This window comes from Homo sapiens, chromosome 8 (genome assembly GCF_000001405.40).
Source record: "Homo sapiens chromosome 8, GRCh38.p14 Primary Assembly".
Lineage (NCBI taxonomy): Eukaryota > Metazoa > Chordata > Mammalia > Primates > Hominidae > Homo > Homo sapiens.
In genome coordinates, this window is record NC_000008.11 from 108,209,702 (window position 1) to 108,224,978 (window position 15,277).

The 15,277-nt window shown below is 36.4% G+C and overlaps 1 protein-coding gene across 1 annotated transcript in view; it reads right to left on the bottom strand.

Annotated features, from left to right (window-relative positions):
* EIF3E (eukaryotic translation initiation factor 3 subunit E) overlaps nt 1–15,277 on the bottom strand; it is a 47,502-nt gene that overhangs the window by 8,486 nt on the left and 23,739 nt on the right. Inside the window, exons 8-10 of the mRNA NM_001568.3 lie at nt 7,633–7,759; nt 6,711–6,812; nt 4,906–5,015 (exon numbers count right to left, since the gene is read on the bottom strand). Of these exons, the coding sequence (NP_001559.1) occupies nt 4,906–5,015; nt 6,711–6,812; nt 7,633–7,759 (339 nt within the window). The remainder of the gene's footprint in view (nt 1–4,905; nt 5,016–6,710; nt 6,813–7,632; nt 7,760–15,277) is intronic.

Genomic DNA, 15,277 nt, shown 5'->3' on the forward strand with positions numbered 1-15,277 from the left:
AGCATATTTGCCGTTTAGGAAGCTGAACACTAACTTTTAGAAAATGTTTTGCATATTCTCAAAGTAATAAAAATATAGGAATGGAGAACAAATGAGTAGTTGCCAGAAATTAAGGACAGGGTGGCAGGGAAGAGGGTACCACTATAAAAGAGCAGCTTGAAGGATCCTTGTGATAGAAATGTTCTGTATCTTGAATGTATCAACATCAACATCCTGGCTGCTATATTTTACTGTGGTTTTGCAAGATGTTACTAATGGGAGAAACTGAGTAAAGGACATAGGGGGTCTTTTTATCATTTCTTACAACTGATACATAATCATCTCAAAATAAACAGTTTAACTTTTTTTTTTTTTTTAAGCCAGATCTTGCATCAAAATCACTTAGAGGACCTTTTTTTAAAACACAGTCTATGGGGTCTCCCTCCAGAGAATGTTTTTGTTTTTTAAAGGTTAGGCTCAGTCATATAGTATTTCTGTTTATTACTTTTTAGAGTTTCCCATTTGATTCTAATGTGTTGTCAGTACTATAAAGTCACTAATTTACAGCAATGATTCCCCAAGGCTGACTGCAAAAGAATCACCTGAGAAGCTTTAATCCCAGATTCTCAAGCCTGCATCACAGAGATTTTGATTCAGAAGGCCTGGGATAAAACCAGGAAATCTATTATTTTTAAGCTAAATTCTTGTTATTTTACTTCTCCAGATGATTTCAATGTACAACTAGGTTTAAAACCTCTGGCTTAAAGAACAAGTACTTTTTTTCCCGTGTAATGTTTAAAGGTAATTTTTAGCTCTGTTGGTCATTATCACGGATTACAAATTCTTGGAGTCCAAATTAAAATGTTAGCTGTATTTATAAAATCCCAACATAAATACGTATTATTTCCAGCCACTGTCTTTTTTCTATTATTATAGTTTAAGTTCTAGGGTACATTTGTACAACGTGCAGGTTTGTTACATATGCACACATGTGCCATGTTGGTGTGCTGCACCCATTAACTCGTCATTTACATTAGGTATATCTCCTAATGCTATCCCTCCCCACTCCCCCCACCCCACGACAGGCCCCGGTGTGTGATGTTCCCCACCCTGTGTCCAAGTGTTCTCATTGTTCAATTCCCACCTATGAGTGAGAACATGCGGTGTTTGGTTTTCTGTCCTTGTGATAGTTTGCTCAGAATGATGGTTTCTAGCTTCATCCATGTCCCTACAAAGGACATGAACTCATCATTTTTTATGGCTGCATAGTATTCCATGGTGTATATGTGTCACATTTTCTTAATCCAGTCTATCATTGATGAACATTTGGGTCGGTTCCAAGTCTTTGCTATTGTGAATAGTGCCTCAATAAACATATGTGTGCACGTGTCTTTATAGCAGCATGATTTATTATCCTTTGGGTATATGTCCAGTAATGGGATGGCTGGGTCAAATGGTATTTCTAGTTCTAGATCCTTGAGGAATCACCACACTGTCTTCCACAATGGTTGAACTAGTTTACAGTCCCACCAACAGTGTAAAAGTGTTCCTATTTCTCCACATCCTCTCCAGCACCTGTTGTTTCCTGACTTTTTAATGATCGCCATTCTAACTGGTGTGAGATGGTATCTCATTGTGGTTTTGATTTGCATTTCTCTGATGGCCAGTGATGATGAGCATTTTTTCATATGTCTGTTGGCTGCATAAATGTCTTCTTTTCAGAAGTATCTGTTCATATCCTTTGCCCACTTTTTGATGGGGTTGTTTTTTTCTTGTAAATTTGTTTAGGTACTTTGTAGATTCTGGATATTAGCCCTTTGTCAGATGGGTAGATGCTAAAAATTTTCTCCTATTCTGTAGGTTGTCTGTTCACTCTGATGGTAGTTTCTTTTGTCTTTCTAACCCACTAAAGCATCCTTAGAAACACGAAGAAGCTTATCTTCTTAATTCATTATATAATAAAGGTATTAAATTACTGATTTTTCACTCCATTACTTTAGCAGGCTGTAATTACACGCCTAAAAAACTGGTTACCTAATGCAGTGGTTTTGGATTCTGGCTGTGCTTCGGAATAACCACCCTCAAGATACAGCACAGCAGCCCTGCTGCAAATCATAGCATAGCCTACTCAATAAATCTGATTCAATGGTTTAGGGTGGCTATAGGGAGTTTATAAAACAAACTCTACAAAGATTCTGAAACACAGAGTTAAAGTGACTTAGGGTTTTCATCTTTATCCTCTGGCTCAACTGATAAACTAAATGACAAATTAATCTAAACCTGACATTTCTAAAAATATAAATTGTTCACAATATAAAAGAACTTACAGTGAGGTACAGTACAATGAATGTCAGATACCTTTAGTACAGGCTCTATCAAGACCTAGCTTAATGTCCTTGAGCTTTAAATTTCCTGGCTACAAAACAATGCAGTTGTTCTGAGTCAGTGTTTTGTAAAACTGTGTTCCAAAGAGGTGTCTTAGTAGTCAGGAGAGAAGCTGAACAGAACTGTAAGATAGGCACGGTGAATGGGCTCTGCTTTGATCTGCTTATACACATATATAAATACATATATTCATATATATGATATTACATTTGAAAATAAGTCCCACTGTCACACAGAGATTTGGAAACCATACTTCAAGATCTTGAAATGTGAGCCATCTATGAAGTATACTGTACTGAACACATAGAAACACATTTTCAGATATAAAACATTTCTATCACTACAGAAAATTCTACTGAGAAGTCCTTCACCTGAAAAGTAACTGTGTTGTTGGATCAGAAGATCCCTAAGATTTCTTTCAGATTGAAAATTCTACCATAGTACTTGAAAAAACGCTGGGCGCAAGTGGCTCACGCCTGTAATCCCAGCACTTTGGGAGAACAAGGCAGGGAGATCACTTGAGGCCAGGAGTTCAAGACAAGCCTGGCCAACATGGTGAAACCCCATCTCTACTAAAAGCACAAAAATTAGCTGGGCGTGGTGGCACATGCCTGTAATCTCAGCTACTTGGGAGGCTGAGGCACGAGAATCTCTTGAACGCGAGAGGCAGAGGTTGCAGTGAGCAGAGATCGCACCACTATACCCAAGCCTAGGCAACAGTGCAGGACTGTGTCTCCCCCCAAAAAAAGAAAGAAAAAGAAAAACATACATTATTGATCTATGTACTCTTAATCATCTTAGTAAAACATTGAAAAAAAAATTGAAGAACTGAAGTGAAAGAAAATGCTACTACTAGAAAAAAAAATATTTTTAGACTCTGGAAAGCCACTAGGACTTTAGTCTGAAAATGCTTTGTAGATTTTTGTCTAGCAGAAAACTACAGAGATCAAGGAAGTAATAAAAATCTACACGGAGAAAAGTCTGAAAAATTCTTAGGTAGTGTCACATAAAGGTATATAGAAACATTCCCACTCTATTAACTTCTTTGAGCTGCACATCTCCCTTCAGTAAGGAGAACACATACTTAATCTATGTTCCTCTTAAAAGATAATAAACCAAATCCCAAGAAAGAAAATAATGAATACATGGCTGCAGAGTTAAAGGAAAAGAGCTACAACAAATCTTATTGATAGTACCTCGGAAGCAAACACCAAAGCAGACAAGCATTATCATGGACAAAAATGCCAAGTTCACTAATAACAGAAGAAATTTACTTAACAAATATTTATATTGTATACTCACACTATACTGTACAAAGCATATTAGGTGCTACAAAGTTAGTATGTTAGGTGCTAAAGATGCAAAAAAAAGGGTCAGCTTTCAAAAGGCCCACAACAGCGGTAGTAGCTAAGTCAGTTCTGGACCAAAAAGCACCCAAATGACCACATTCTAATGAGAAATGGAGAAAATTCTACAAGGGAAACCAAAATACTAACATCCCTCTTTCACAAGCCCTAATTACAAACCTTAAAAACAAAGAACAATGCAAGAATTCAGTTACTACTATCCACCGGAGCCCCACATATGATGTACCTACCTCTTTATTTCATAACCAATTACATTATTAGGAATTTTCATGTAATTTGTAAGAGAATCAGGTTTAAAAAATTCTGTCTGCAAGCTACAGTAAAGTGCTAATAAAACTGTGAAGGCAAGGATTCAATTCCCATAGGAAAAATCCCATGATTATACTATCCTTCTAACTCTGGACAACCACTTCAACGGACGGCCCACTAAAATTAGGCAAGCGAAGTATGGATAAGCAAAAACAAATGGCATTAAAGAAAAAGAATTTGTTTTATGCACAATTCCTCAGAAGCAAACACTAAAGCAGTAGGTTTTTAAACATTTGTTTGACTTCCTCTGTGCCCAAAGGGCACTAGTCATTTTTCAAACTGTAATGTGTACAATTTATTTCTAATAGGTTATGTACATTTCACAATTTTTTCCCAATATTTTCTGACAAAACAGGAAATTACAACTAAAATTCACTATAATTTTTCCATCTTTCAACATTTTAAGATGCCATAGGAGTTTACTATAGGAGAAGTCAAATATGTAATTAAATCATACAAACTAAATGGAAAGGATTACCAAATGTAGTGGTCTTTCAACAGAATTTCCAATTTAATGGGTATCTCCTTTGTACTGTTGTTGAAAACCATTTTAGAAATGTTTACTACACTTTTCTCCTTACGTAAAGGTACAAGAGTATTTACTCTTCAATAAGGTAACTGATAATCATATATTGCCTTCAACTTAGTATTTTGAAAAATTATGCCACTCAAGCTAAAACTATCTGAGCCTGTAGCAAAAGTTAGGTTTTTAAATAATTTTATCAAATTGTTTCATTGTTCTTCTGAAAGCAAAAATAAATAAAAATCCAATTAACTGGAATTCTATTAAGTGTAAATTCACAATAAATGGAAATTTCCAGGAATTTTAAAGTAGAAAATCCAAATCAAATCACGGTGTTCTTACTTAATGCTGATACACTGGTGGATGCGACAGAAAGTCTCAAATATGAAGAGACGGGCATTTTCAATGAAATCCTCAAGACAAGCCACCAAGAAGAAGTCATTCACAAGCACCTATATGTACAAATACAACAAAAATTAATGATGCTGACAAGCAATTGCCTGAAACGTGAATCAAATACTTTATCTGCTTTATTTTTCCATTCTACAATCATGAGTTTTATACCACAGCACTTTCTAGAACACTGTGTTCAAATCTTTAATGATTTAAATAAGTAGTAAACGAATACCACAAGATAAAGACCTAAAAACTGCAATGTTTCTGATAACTTTAATAAAGTAGCCTTCTGACAACAAAGTTTGGTACTATCCATTATTCTACATAAATGCTCTGCAGATAATGTTATCTCTTCCAACTATTTAAAATAATTATAAATGGACTACAAGCTCGGAGTATTTCTACAATATTAAGTAGACTTAGAAATTAGAAGGAAAAGAATGCAAAAGGTGGCTACTATTCCACAGATGGTGTAATTAAGAGAGAATATTTTAATTTCAAGAACAGCAACCAAGTACCCTCTAGGTCTTTTAACATCAAAACCTAGACACTTAGCATAATGAATATACGCCAATATTTACCTTAATAATGCAATATATGACTACAAAAAAAAACACCAATTACCATATTGGATTCTAATTTTCTATTCCATCTAATGTTTGAAAATCATCAGGGAGGCCAGGTGCGGTGGCTGACGCCTGTAATCCCAGCACTTTGGGAGGCCGAGGTGGGCAGATCACAAGATCAGGAGATCGAGACCATCCTGGCTAACATGGTGAAACCCTGTCTCTACTAAAAATACAAAAAATTAACCGGGCGTGGTGGTGGGCGCCTATGGTCCCAGCTACTTGGGAGGCTGAGGCAGGAGAATGGTGTGAACCCGGGAGGTGGAGTTTGCAGTGAGCCGGGATCATGCCACTGCACTCCAGCCTCGGCAACAGAGTGAGACTCTGTCTGAAAAAAAATAAAATAAGAAAATCATCAGGGAATGGATATTTGCATGATCATTTTTTTCCTTAGAGAAGTAAGATATTTGTCAACAAATTGCCCATTTTGTGCCAAAATTTTGGTTCCAAGGGTGAAACTGATAACCAGTAACTTGTGAATCTGGTAAATGCAACTACATTTAGCAGTTAGAATTCTTAGTTTAGTTTCTTAAAACTTGTAAACTAATTATTCAAAACAACTATAAGTCTTCCATTTGCTCTAAAGGTACTTTAATTTCTACTAAACAATAAGAGACACCGCCGTTATAAAATTCGTAATTACAATGAATTGCCTGGTTTATCACAAATGTTAAATACAACCATGGGAAATATTCTAAAGATAAGCCCATCTATGAACCAAAATTAAAAACACAGTTGTTATTTGCAATTCAAAGTGACCTTGCCTGTACATATGAAATATTAAAAATATTCATTCGAGATTTAAGACATGAAATTATGGATATGTCTGTAAATTTAAATTACCCCCAATGTTTTAACAAACTCCCTCACAAAAGGGATAAACACATGGCAACAACATTAAAAAAGTCATCACTCTAGCACATTCCCATTTTAAGATTAATAAACACAAGCCATTTAAGCCATTTTAAGGTTAATAAACATGAGCCATTTAGGCCTTTTTAAGATTAATAAGCATATTTCCGTTATAATTACTTCATTACTTTAAGGAAGACACTGCAAGATTAACGTTACAATATCCAAAAATTTAAGAATAGTATTAGTTTATAAATAAAAATTCACACTTACTGATTCACATTCCCTCAGCTTTTTCTGAGCCCCATCAAAGTCAAAGTTAACATATAAACATTCAACAAATTCTGTAATTGGGTCTTTATATGTGTAAGACTCCTGTAAAAATAAGTCAACGGTCAAGGTAAGTCTGATTCAACATTGTTTAGCAGATTGCCCCAGAATATCCCAATCTTCTTGTTTTCTCCTTCTTTACCATTAATTTCTAGCCAAATTACCTAGCATCTTCCCAAAACAATTGTTCCTATCCTGATTCCAGACCACACCTTAAGCTTATTATGTCTTTCAAACCAAGTTCTCTAAAGTCTCATCCTAGAAGCATTCTGAAAGCTTTCAAATTCCTCTACTACCAAAAGTCTCCCTTGGTCAATAAACAGTAATAAACTTCCCCAATCATAAGGGTATTCATTCCCTACTGAATGACAATAACTTCTTTGTATTTAATACACTCTTAAATAAATATTTAAGTTATATTTCTAATCTACGGGTTTTGCTGACAAGCTCACTAAATATCAATCAGCATGGCTGCCTGAAACCTTTTGCCCAACTTGGGGTCTATTGAAACGGTATTGTATATAAAGTTCACCCATGTAGAATTACACAGGTAATGACCCCCACCTCCAGGTTCCAGATTTTCTTCACTCTTTGCAATAAGAGAAACACATACACATAATGTATATATTAAGTGTTCATCTAGCAGACAGTAATAATCATTCCTACCACATCCAACTTGTGTATCTTGGACTTAAGGAAAACAAAAGCCCATTTGAGGGTCTTCTCTTTTCTAAACTTCAAGTATTCCTTCCACCTATTTTTAAAAACGTTTGTACCTTAAGAACTAAGTCTTACCTTAGAAAAAGAGGTTAGACCTAAAGCTTAGGTATTTAAAAAAAAAAATCAATATATATTTTAGTTTTACCTGTTGAATAACTTTAACTAGATCTTTTAGAACCTGCCGACGTTTTCGAACATCCTTGTTTGTTATGACTGCTGTAGTCAAATAGCGAAGAATGTGTGGACACATTGTCTGAATTGCATTAAGATATCTAAGAAAAAATATAAAAGTTATTTAATAACTTACCCAGGGTGAGATAAAGAAAACTCTCGAGCAGGTCATTAGATTGTACTATTTCACTAGCCTAAGACTGCAAACACTTAAGAATGAGTATTATAAGAAAATCTCCTCCAAGGAAATTTAAAAACAGAATCCAGTTTCAGGAATCCAAATGAGGAGAATGCTAGCCACTATTTCTTTAATATGGGGTGAGATGGAAGACTCAATCAAGAGGCTAATTATCCTATTATTATTTTTGAGTAACAGGATTTTGCAAGGTTCATTGACATGCTGTCAGTCTGTTCCAAAAGGCTACTAAGCGATGACTTTCATTCACCCATTAGAAAAAAATGTGTGAAAACCTATGTGCAAAGCACTCATACTAATGAGAAAATCAGCCACTTAAATTAAATAATTCAGGGGATGAAAGACTGGAAGCAACGGGGAAGGAATATTACAATATTACAAGACATTGGTTAAAGTGGTAGCAGTAGGAATTAGGAAGGAATAGATGTCAGGTAAACATTAACAGGGTCTTGGCTAATATTTAGCAAATCTTGCTGTTGTGATGATCAACATGGGACAATGCCCTGTAATTAGGTGTTTACCCTTATTTCTCCTGCTTAATTTCCTCAAATAGCTCCCTATTTATTTACCCAATAAATACTAATTTAGCACCTCTGAGGGCCAGACACTATACATATCTCAGAATTATCTGTCAATAAAGTCCATTTCTTTTAGGTGAATATTCAAGCCCCAAATTATCCATCCAGCTACATCTCCCATCACACTACCATTGACAGCTTCCTCTCTCTTTTCTTCAAGTTCACTCCACACAGATTGGTCTCCCAAATACATACCCCTGAAAGCCTAAATCCTAGCCATCCTTCAAGGTCCAGCTTCAATACCTTATCTTCTAAGTTCCCCCAGGCAATGATGAGTAAATCTGTATTTTATTATATTATAGATTCCCACAAAATGTTGTTTAAACTCTTTAGAGGACCCTAGAATTGAACACTTAATAATATCTAGTCCCACTTAGCCACCCTGAATGCCCTCTAAACGAGGTGAAGTATAAAAAGAATATCCACTCAAGAATAAATAATTTCTAGGAAAAGACACCAAAAACACACTGGCTAAATTACATCATCTGAAAAATTAAGCTTGAGTTAGAAATGAAAATTTTGTATTGCAATACTCATTTAGAACAATTACTTCTCTTGCCAGAGAGCTCAGGTACAAACACAGGAAAGCATGATTGTTTCTCTTACTATCAGTTTTAAAGTAGGTGATTTTATTTTTTTATTTTATTTCTTTTTTTTTTTTTTTTTTTGAGACGAAGTCTCACTCTGTCTCCTAGGCTGGAGTGCAGTGGCACCATCTCAGTTCACTGAAACCTCCGCTTCCCAGATTCAAGAGATTCTCCTGCCTCAGCCTCCCGAGTAGTTGGAACTACAGGTGCACACCACCACACCTGGCTAACTTTTTTGTATTTTTAGTAGAGATGGGGTTTCACCGTGTTGGCCAGGCTGGTCTCGAACTGCTGAGTCAAGTGACCTGCCTGCCTTGGCCTCCCAAAGTGCTGGGATTACAGGCATGAGCCACTCCACTCAGACAAAGTAGGTCATTTTAGTGCACGTTTATGAGACTCATCATTAATTTATCTAAAATCAATTTATACATAAATAGTTCTATAAGTTTGTTGTATAGTGTGTTCAACTCATAGTTATTTTTACTTATCCTGAGTTTATACCATTGCTCCATATACATCTTAATTATTTTTACTGGAGGATTACTTATTTGGGAAATCTACTCTTTGTTTCTGTGAGTGTATTTCAGAAGCCAGCAAAATTTTTGTAAAGAACCAGATAGTAAACATTTTTGGCTTTGTGGGCAAGAGGCAAATTCAGAATATTATGCCAGATACTTCTATAAAAAGAGAGGAAACAAATTTCCAAAATATAGGTCTGCTAATGAGACCAATGGAATTCTTTCACTGGGAATAATTTTGCTTAATTAATTTCAAATTTAGAGGTCCATATCATTAAAAAGTATTGCAAATGTTTTTCTGATAATGTAATCTGTAATGAGATTTTACATATTTAGTCCTTGAAAATGTAAAAACGGCCAGGTGCCATGACTCATGCCTGTAATCCCAACCCTTTGGGAGGCCGAGGTGAGAGGACTGCTTGAGCCCAGGAGTTCAAGACTAGCCTGGGCAACATAGTGAAACCTTGTCTCTACAAAAAATAATAATAATAAAATTGAGGTGGAGGATCACCTGAGCTTAGGAGGTCGAGGCTGCAATAAGCCGTTACTGCACCACTGCACTTCCAACCTGGGTGACAGAGCAAGACCCTGCCTCAAAAAAAGAAAGAAAAAAGAAAATGTAGGCGGGGCATGGTGGCTCATGCCTGTAATCCTAGTGCTTTGGGAGGCCGAGGTGGGTGGATCACTTGAGGTCAGGAGTTTGACATCAGCCTGGCCAACACGGTGAAACCCTGTCTCTACTAAAAATACAAAAATTACCCAGGTGTGGAGGCAGGCACCTGTAATCCCTGCTACTCAGGAGGCTGAGGCAAGAGAATCACTTGAACCCGGGAGGTGGAGGTTGCAGTGAGCTGAGATGGTGCCACTGCACTCCAGGCCTGGGCGACGGAGCAAGACTCCATCTCCCAAAAAAAAAAAAAAGGAAAATGTAAAAACATGCACAGGCACTAGTAAATGCTGACATCAAACACCAACTGACAAGCATATTATTTTAATTGAGCACATTTAGAAAGACATGTACAATTCTATTATTTTGGTATTATCTTTTAGCGTGTCATCACATTGCAGATTAATCACTTTCAATTCAACTGTAGTTAAATTTTGAAATATAGAAATTTCCTTCATACTTGCAATGAGGTCTAAAACTTTCTGCAACTATAATTTGAACTTGGAAATGCATCTGCTACAATCCTATTTAGCAATGAAGGTCTCCCTTTGTGTTTTAACTTCTGACAGAACACAAAATGTGTAAAGCAGCTGGCTTTTTATTACTTATGATTCATACCATGTTGTCACTGAAATGACTTTACTGCAATATAAATTCTACATATAAACACTTTTGTTTTGCAATTTTAGATGGCACAAACTAAGAAACATTATCAAGTCTGCTGCAAAAGTTAACTTCCAGAGCCATTCAGTGTTTGATAACGGGTTGGGGGCACTTTCAATCTCTCCCCAGATCAACATGCTGTCAATATCCTCAACTCAGAGCAACTGTTCTCGCTGAAAGGTTAATAGTTTTAAACAAGTTTACTTCACTGGACAGATTTCTCTGGCTGCTAAAATCAAACATGTTTTAACTGGATCACCACTGGTAAATGACTTTCCTTACTTGGCTGATAAAAGTACTACACATGCCTGGGCGTAGTGGTGTGAGCCTATAGTCCCAGCTACTCAGGAGGCTGAATTGGGAGGAAGGATCATCTGAGCCCAGGGAGTGAGTGAACCGAGGCTGCAGTAAGCCAAGATTCCACCACTGCACTCCAGACTGGGCGACAGAGCGAGACATGGACAGACAGGAAAGGACAGGACAGGACAGGACAGGATGAAAAGAAAAAGAAAAAGAACTGGGAATGAAAAGAAAAGGGAAAGGAAAAGAAAGAAAAGGAAAGAAAGAAAAGAAAAGAACCCCTCAGACACTTAACTGAAAAAAAAATTTTAGAGCAGGGTCTCATTCTGTCACCCAGGCTGAAGTGCAGTGAAATGATCACTACTCAGTCTCCCAGGCTCAACTGATCCTCCTGCCTTAGCCTAAGTGATAGGGCTATGGGCATGAGGCAATGCTCTGGGCTAGAAATTTTGATGCCTCACTTTCATTAATTTTTGTGAAAAAATTCTGCTGGGATCTAATATTCCATTTCTAAAGGTTATAATTTTTCTGACAGTTGCTTTCCTGTCAGTTTGAGAACATGTGACAGTTGTGATAAGTGATTATAGTCCGGTAATGTGGATGTATATTATTAGCTTACCTACAGTGTCAGTTTAGTACTTTGCTTTGTAATTCCTACAATAAAAATCTCCACTCCACTGTGCTTTATAATCATAGTCGAAGTTCACTTCTCTGTTTTGACACGGTAAATAAGCACTGGTAATAAAATAACATATAAATAAAATGTTGCAGTGTGACAATATGGGGCTTGAGAAACACTGTCCAGGTATAACTGGCATCACTTGGATTTGTAGTAAACTGAGAAGAGTATGAGGTGGCAAAAGTGCAACATATCATCTCTGTCTCAACTACTTAGATCTACCATTAGAGCTCAAAAGCTGCCAGACTACACACACACGCACACACACACACACACAAAGTGGCTGTTTTCCAATAAAAAGTTATGAACACTAAAACTGAAATTTCATGTCATTTTCACATCACAAAATATTATTATTCTTTTCACATTTTTTTAGCCAATTAAAATATGAAAGCCATTCTAGACTGCCAGACATATAAAAACAGGCTGTGGGCCAGATTTTAGCCCATGGTCCATAGTTTGCAGATCCTTGGTATACAGTATCACCATGGCTCCAGGCGTTTTTACTTTTTAGAGATGGAATCTGACTCTGTCCCCTAGGCTGGAGTGCAGTGTTACAGTCATAGTTCACTACAGCCTTTAACTCCTGGACTCAAACCATCCTCCTGCCCCAACCTCCCAAGTAGTTGGGGCCACAGGAGTGAATCACAATGCCCAGCTAATTTCTAAAAAAATGTTTTAGAGATAGGTCTCACTATGTTACCCAGGCAGGCTTCAAAACCCCTGGCTTCAAGCGATCTTCCTGTCCCAGCCTTCCAAGTAGCTGGGATTACAGGGAGGAGCTACCATGCCCAGCCAGACTTTGAAACATGGCAGACTCCCTACCTTACAGGGCAAAAGTGATCCATCCTGTATATAAACATTTAGGTGTGTATGCATCTATATATAGATAAGGAGAGGAAGGAATAGGAGTGGAGATTAGAGGTGATTATTTTGTTATCTCAATTCACATTCTTGAAGGATCAGCAATTAAAAACTTACTTCAAACATGACCAAAACCACAGGTATATATTTTAACAGTTAGCCTACCAATGACCAATGTGCTCTTTTGTTTTACTTCCCTGGCTTATCTCTCTTCTCTGTCCAACCAAATTTAAGACAGATCAATTTTTATCTTCAAGGACTGGATGCTTCTAACTTCTCCAGTATTTAGCATGTACAATACCACTGTATGTACTTATTAGACATGCTCTTGTATTACTTATTATGTTACTCGTTTGAATTCTAAGCTGTGTAATAGCAGGCTATACTTCTCATAGTTTTGAAATCAAATTTTCTTAGTTTTTTTTTTTTTTTTTTTTTAAATAACAGACTCAGTATTTGTGCTATGAAGTGAAATTTCAAGCTAGGTAAGTAAAATGTTTTAGTTTATTTTTTCATTCTAGCACAATCTTCCCCAACTGTACAGCTTTATGGGAGTTTTCCTACAGTGTTTCATAATTAAACACAGAAAATTTAATAATCAAAACATAAAATATGCCACCAAATTAAAAATACTTAAGTATCTACTATGTGCTACAAGAACATGAAAAATGACAACTCTGTCTGTAACTATGCTTACAAGTTGGGGAGATGAAGCTATTATAAGTTTTGTTTATTTTAACAGCTTTAAGTAACTAAACACCAAATACAAGCTAAACAAAATACACTGAAATGACTTCACGAAGGAAGTAAATCTGAGCTGGACCTTAAAAACAGATAGGTTTTGGACAAGAAAGAACAAAAAGGGAAGTGCATTTCATGAAGGACAGGCTTTAAAAAGAGAAAAACAAAAACACAGGTAGGACACTAAGTAGACCTCCAGATGAGGACCTTGGAGGTCATCCTGAGTGAGCTAAAGCAGGTAAACTATCTGCACGACAAAGAGTTTTTTTTACCAGGAACTAATTAGAAAATATAAGGAAAATAACAGCAGGAAAGGTCTGTCTGTACAAATTCTGGACATCACATAGTGGATTGGTTAATAGTAAAACTTGAAATTTCTTAGAAAATTCAGATTATTTTTATTGAGAAAACAAAATACTCTTTTACTAACTGAACTTTGCATCTTTCTTTCTACAAGTGGAGAGTAATAGGGCATTGTATTACAAATGGATTCTTTTTCCTAACAGCATCTACATTTAGTGGCAAAGCCTCATCTCCGATAGCCTACGAACACTGCTCTATCTTACACCTGCCACCTTATCTTATATATTATGTTACATTTAAAAGTTCAACACTTTTCAAATGTGTAAATCATCTCCATTTTAGATTCAGAATAAATTATGGCAGAAATGGTAATATATGTGATGTAAGAGACTTTAACCTGCACTGGTATCTAAACTTTCATTTTAAGGACAAACGTATACATGATCTCTAACGTACTTTTATATTAAAAATAAAAAGTATGGCCAGGCACGGTGGCTCACACCAGTAATCCCAGCACTTTGGGATTCCAAGGTGGGCGGGTCACGAGGTCAGGAGATAGAGACCATCCTGGCTAACACGGTGAAACCCAATCTCTACTAAAAATACAAAAAAAAAAAGTAGCCAGGCGTGGTGGTGGGCGCCTGTAGTCCCAGCTACTCGGGAGGCTGAGGCAGGAGAATGGCGTGAACTCGGGAGGCAGAGCTTGAAGTGAGCCGAGATTGCGCCACTGCACTTCAGCCTGGGCGACAGAGTGAGACTCCGTCTCAAAAAAAATAAAAATAAAATAATTTTTAAAAATATGCAATTTACAATCTACATATAATATCCATTGAACATGCAATCAACCAACTACCTACTGTGCTATAAGAAATTAGAACTACTTTTTTCATAAATCTTAAACAGAGACAACTGAAAAACACATACTGATTATAGATATACAAATGCAAATCACACACAATCTCAACAGTAAATAGCTCTCCCACTTCAAGAATATGAAGTCCAGGAAATGGGTGAAACAATGATCTGTCAAGTCAACTGGGTATATTTCCATTAGGAAAAAAGTCAGAATCAAGCAAAAATCAAAATCAGGCAAGAAGACTTAACAAGACAGAAAATAAGACAGCAATCTGACCCTATAGCAAGTGAAAACAGTAAACACAGTACTTTTGTAAACAACTAAAAGTCATCATACTACTGAGTAGTTTTCTTTTCCACAGGCTGTTTCTGTTCAAAGAAAATAGTTCCACAGGCATGATGGTTCTTACTGGGGCAATAAAAATGTTCTAAAACTGACTTGTGATGGTTATATCACTCAGTTAAGTTACTAAAAATTACTAAACTATAAACAAACAAATTCTTCTTGTACTTTAGAGTAAATCAAAGCAGTGGCATCAAACTATACTAGCAGTCCCTATATTTTTCACCACCACACTTTTGCAGTTTTAAAAAACACACAAAAAGTTTCAACTATGTCCTTGAATCACGTAGCCCAAATTAATTTTTAAAAACTTCAACCCTTAAGT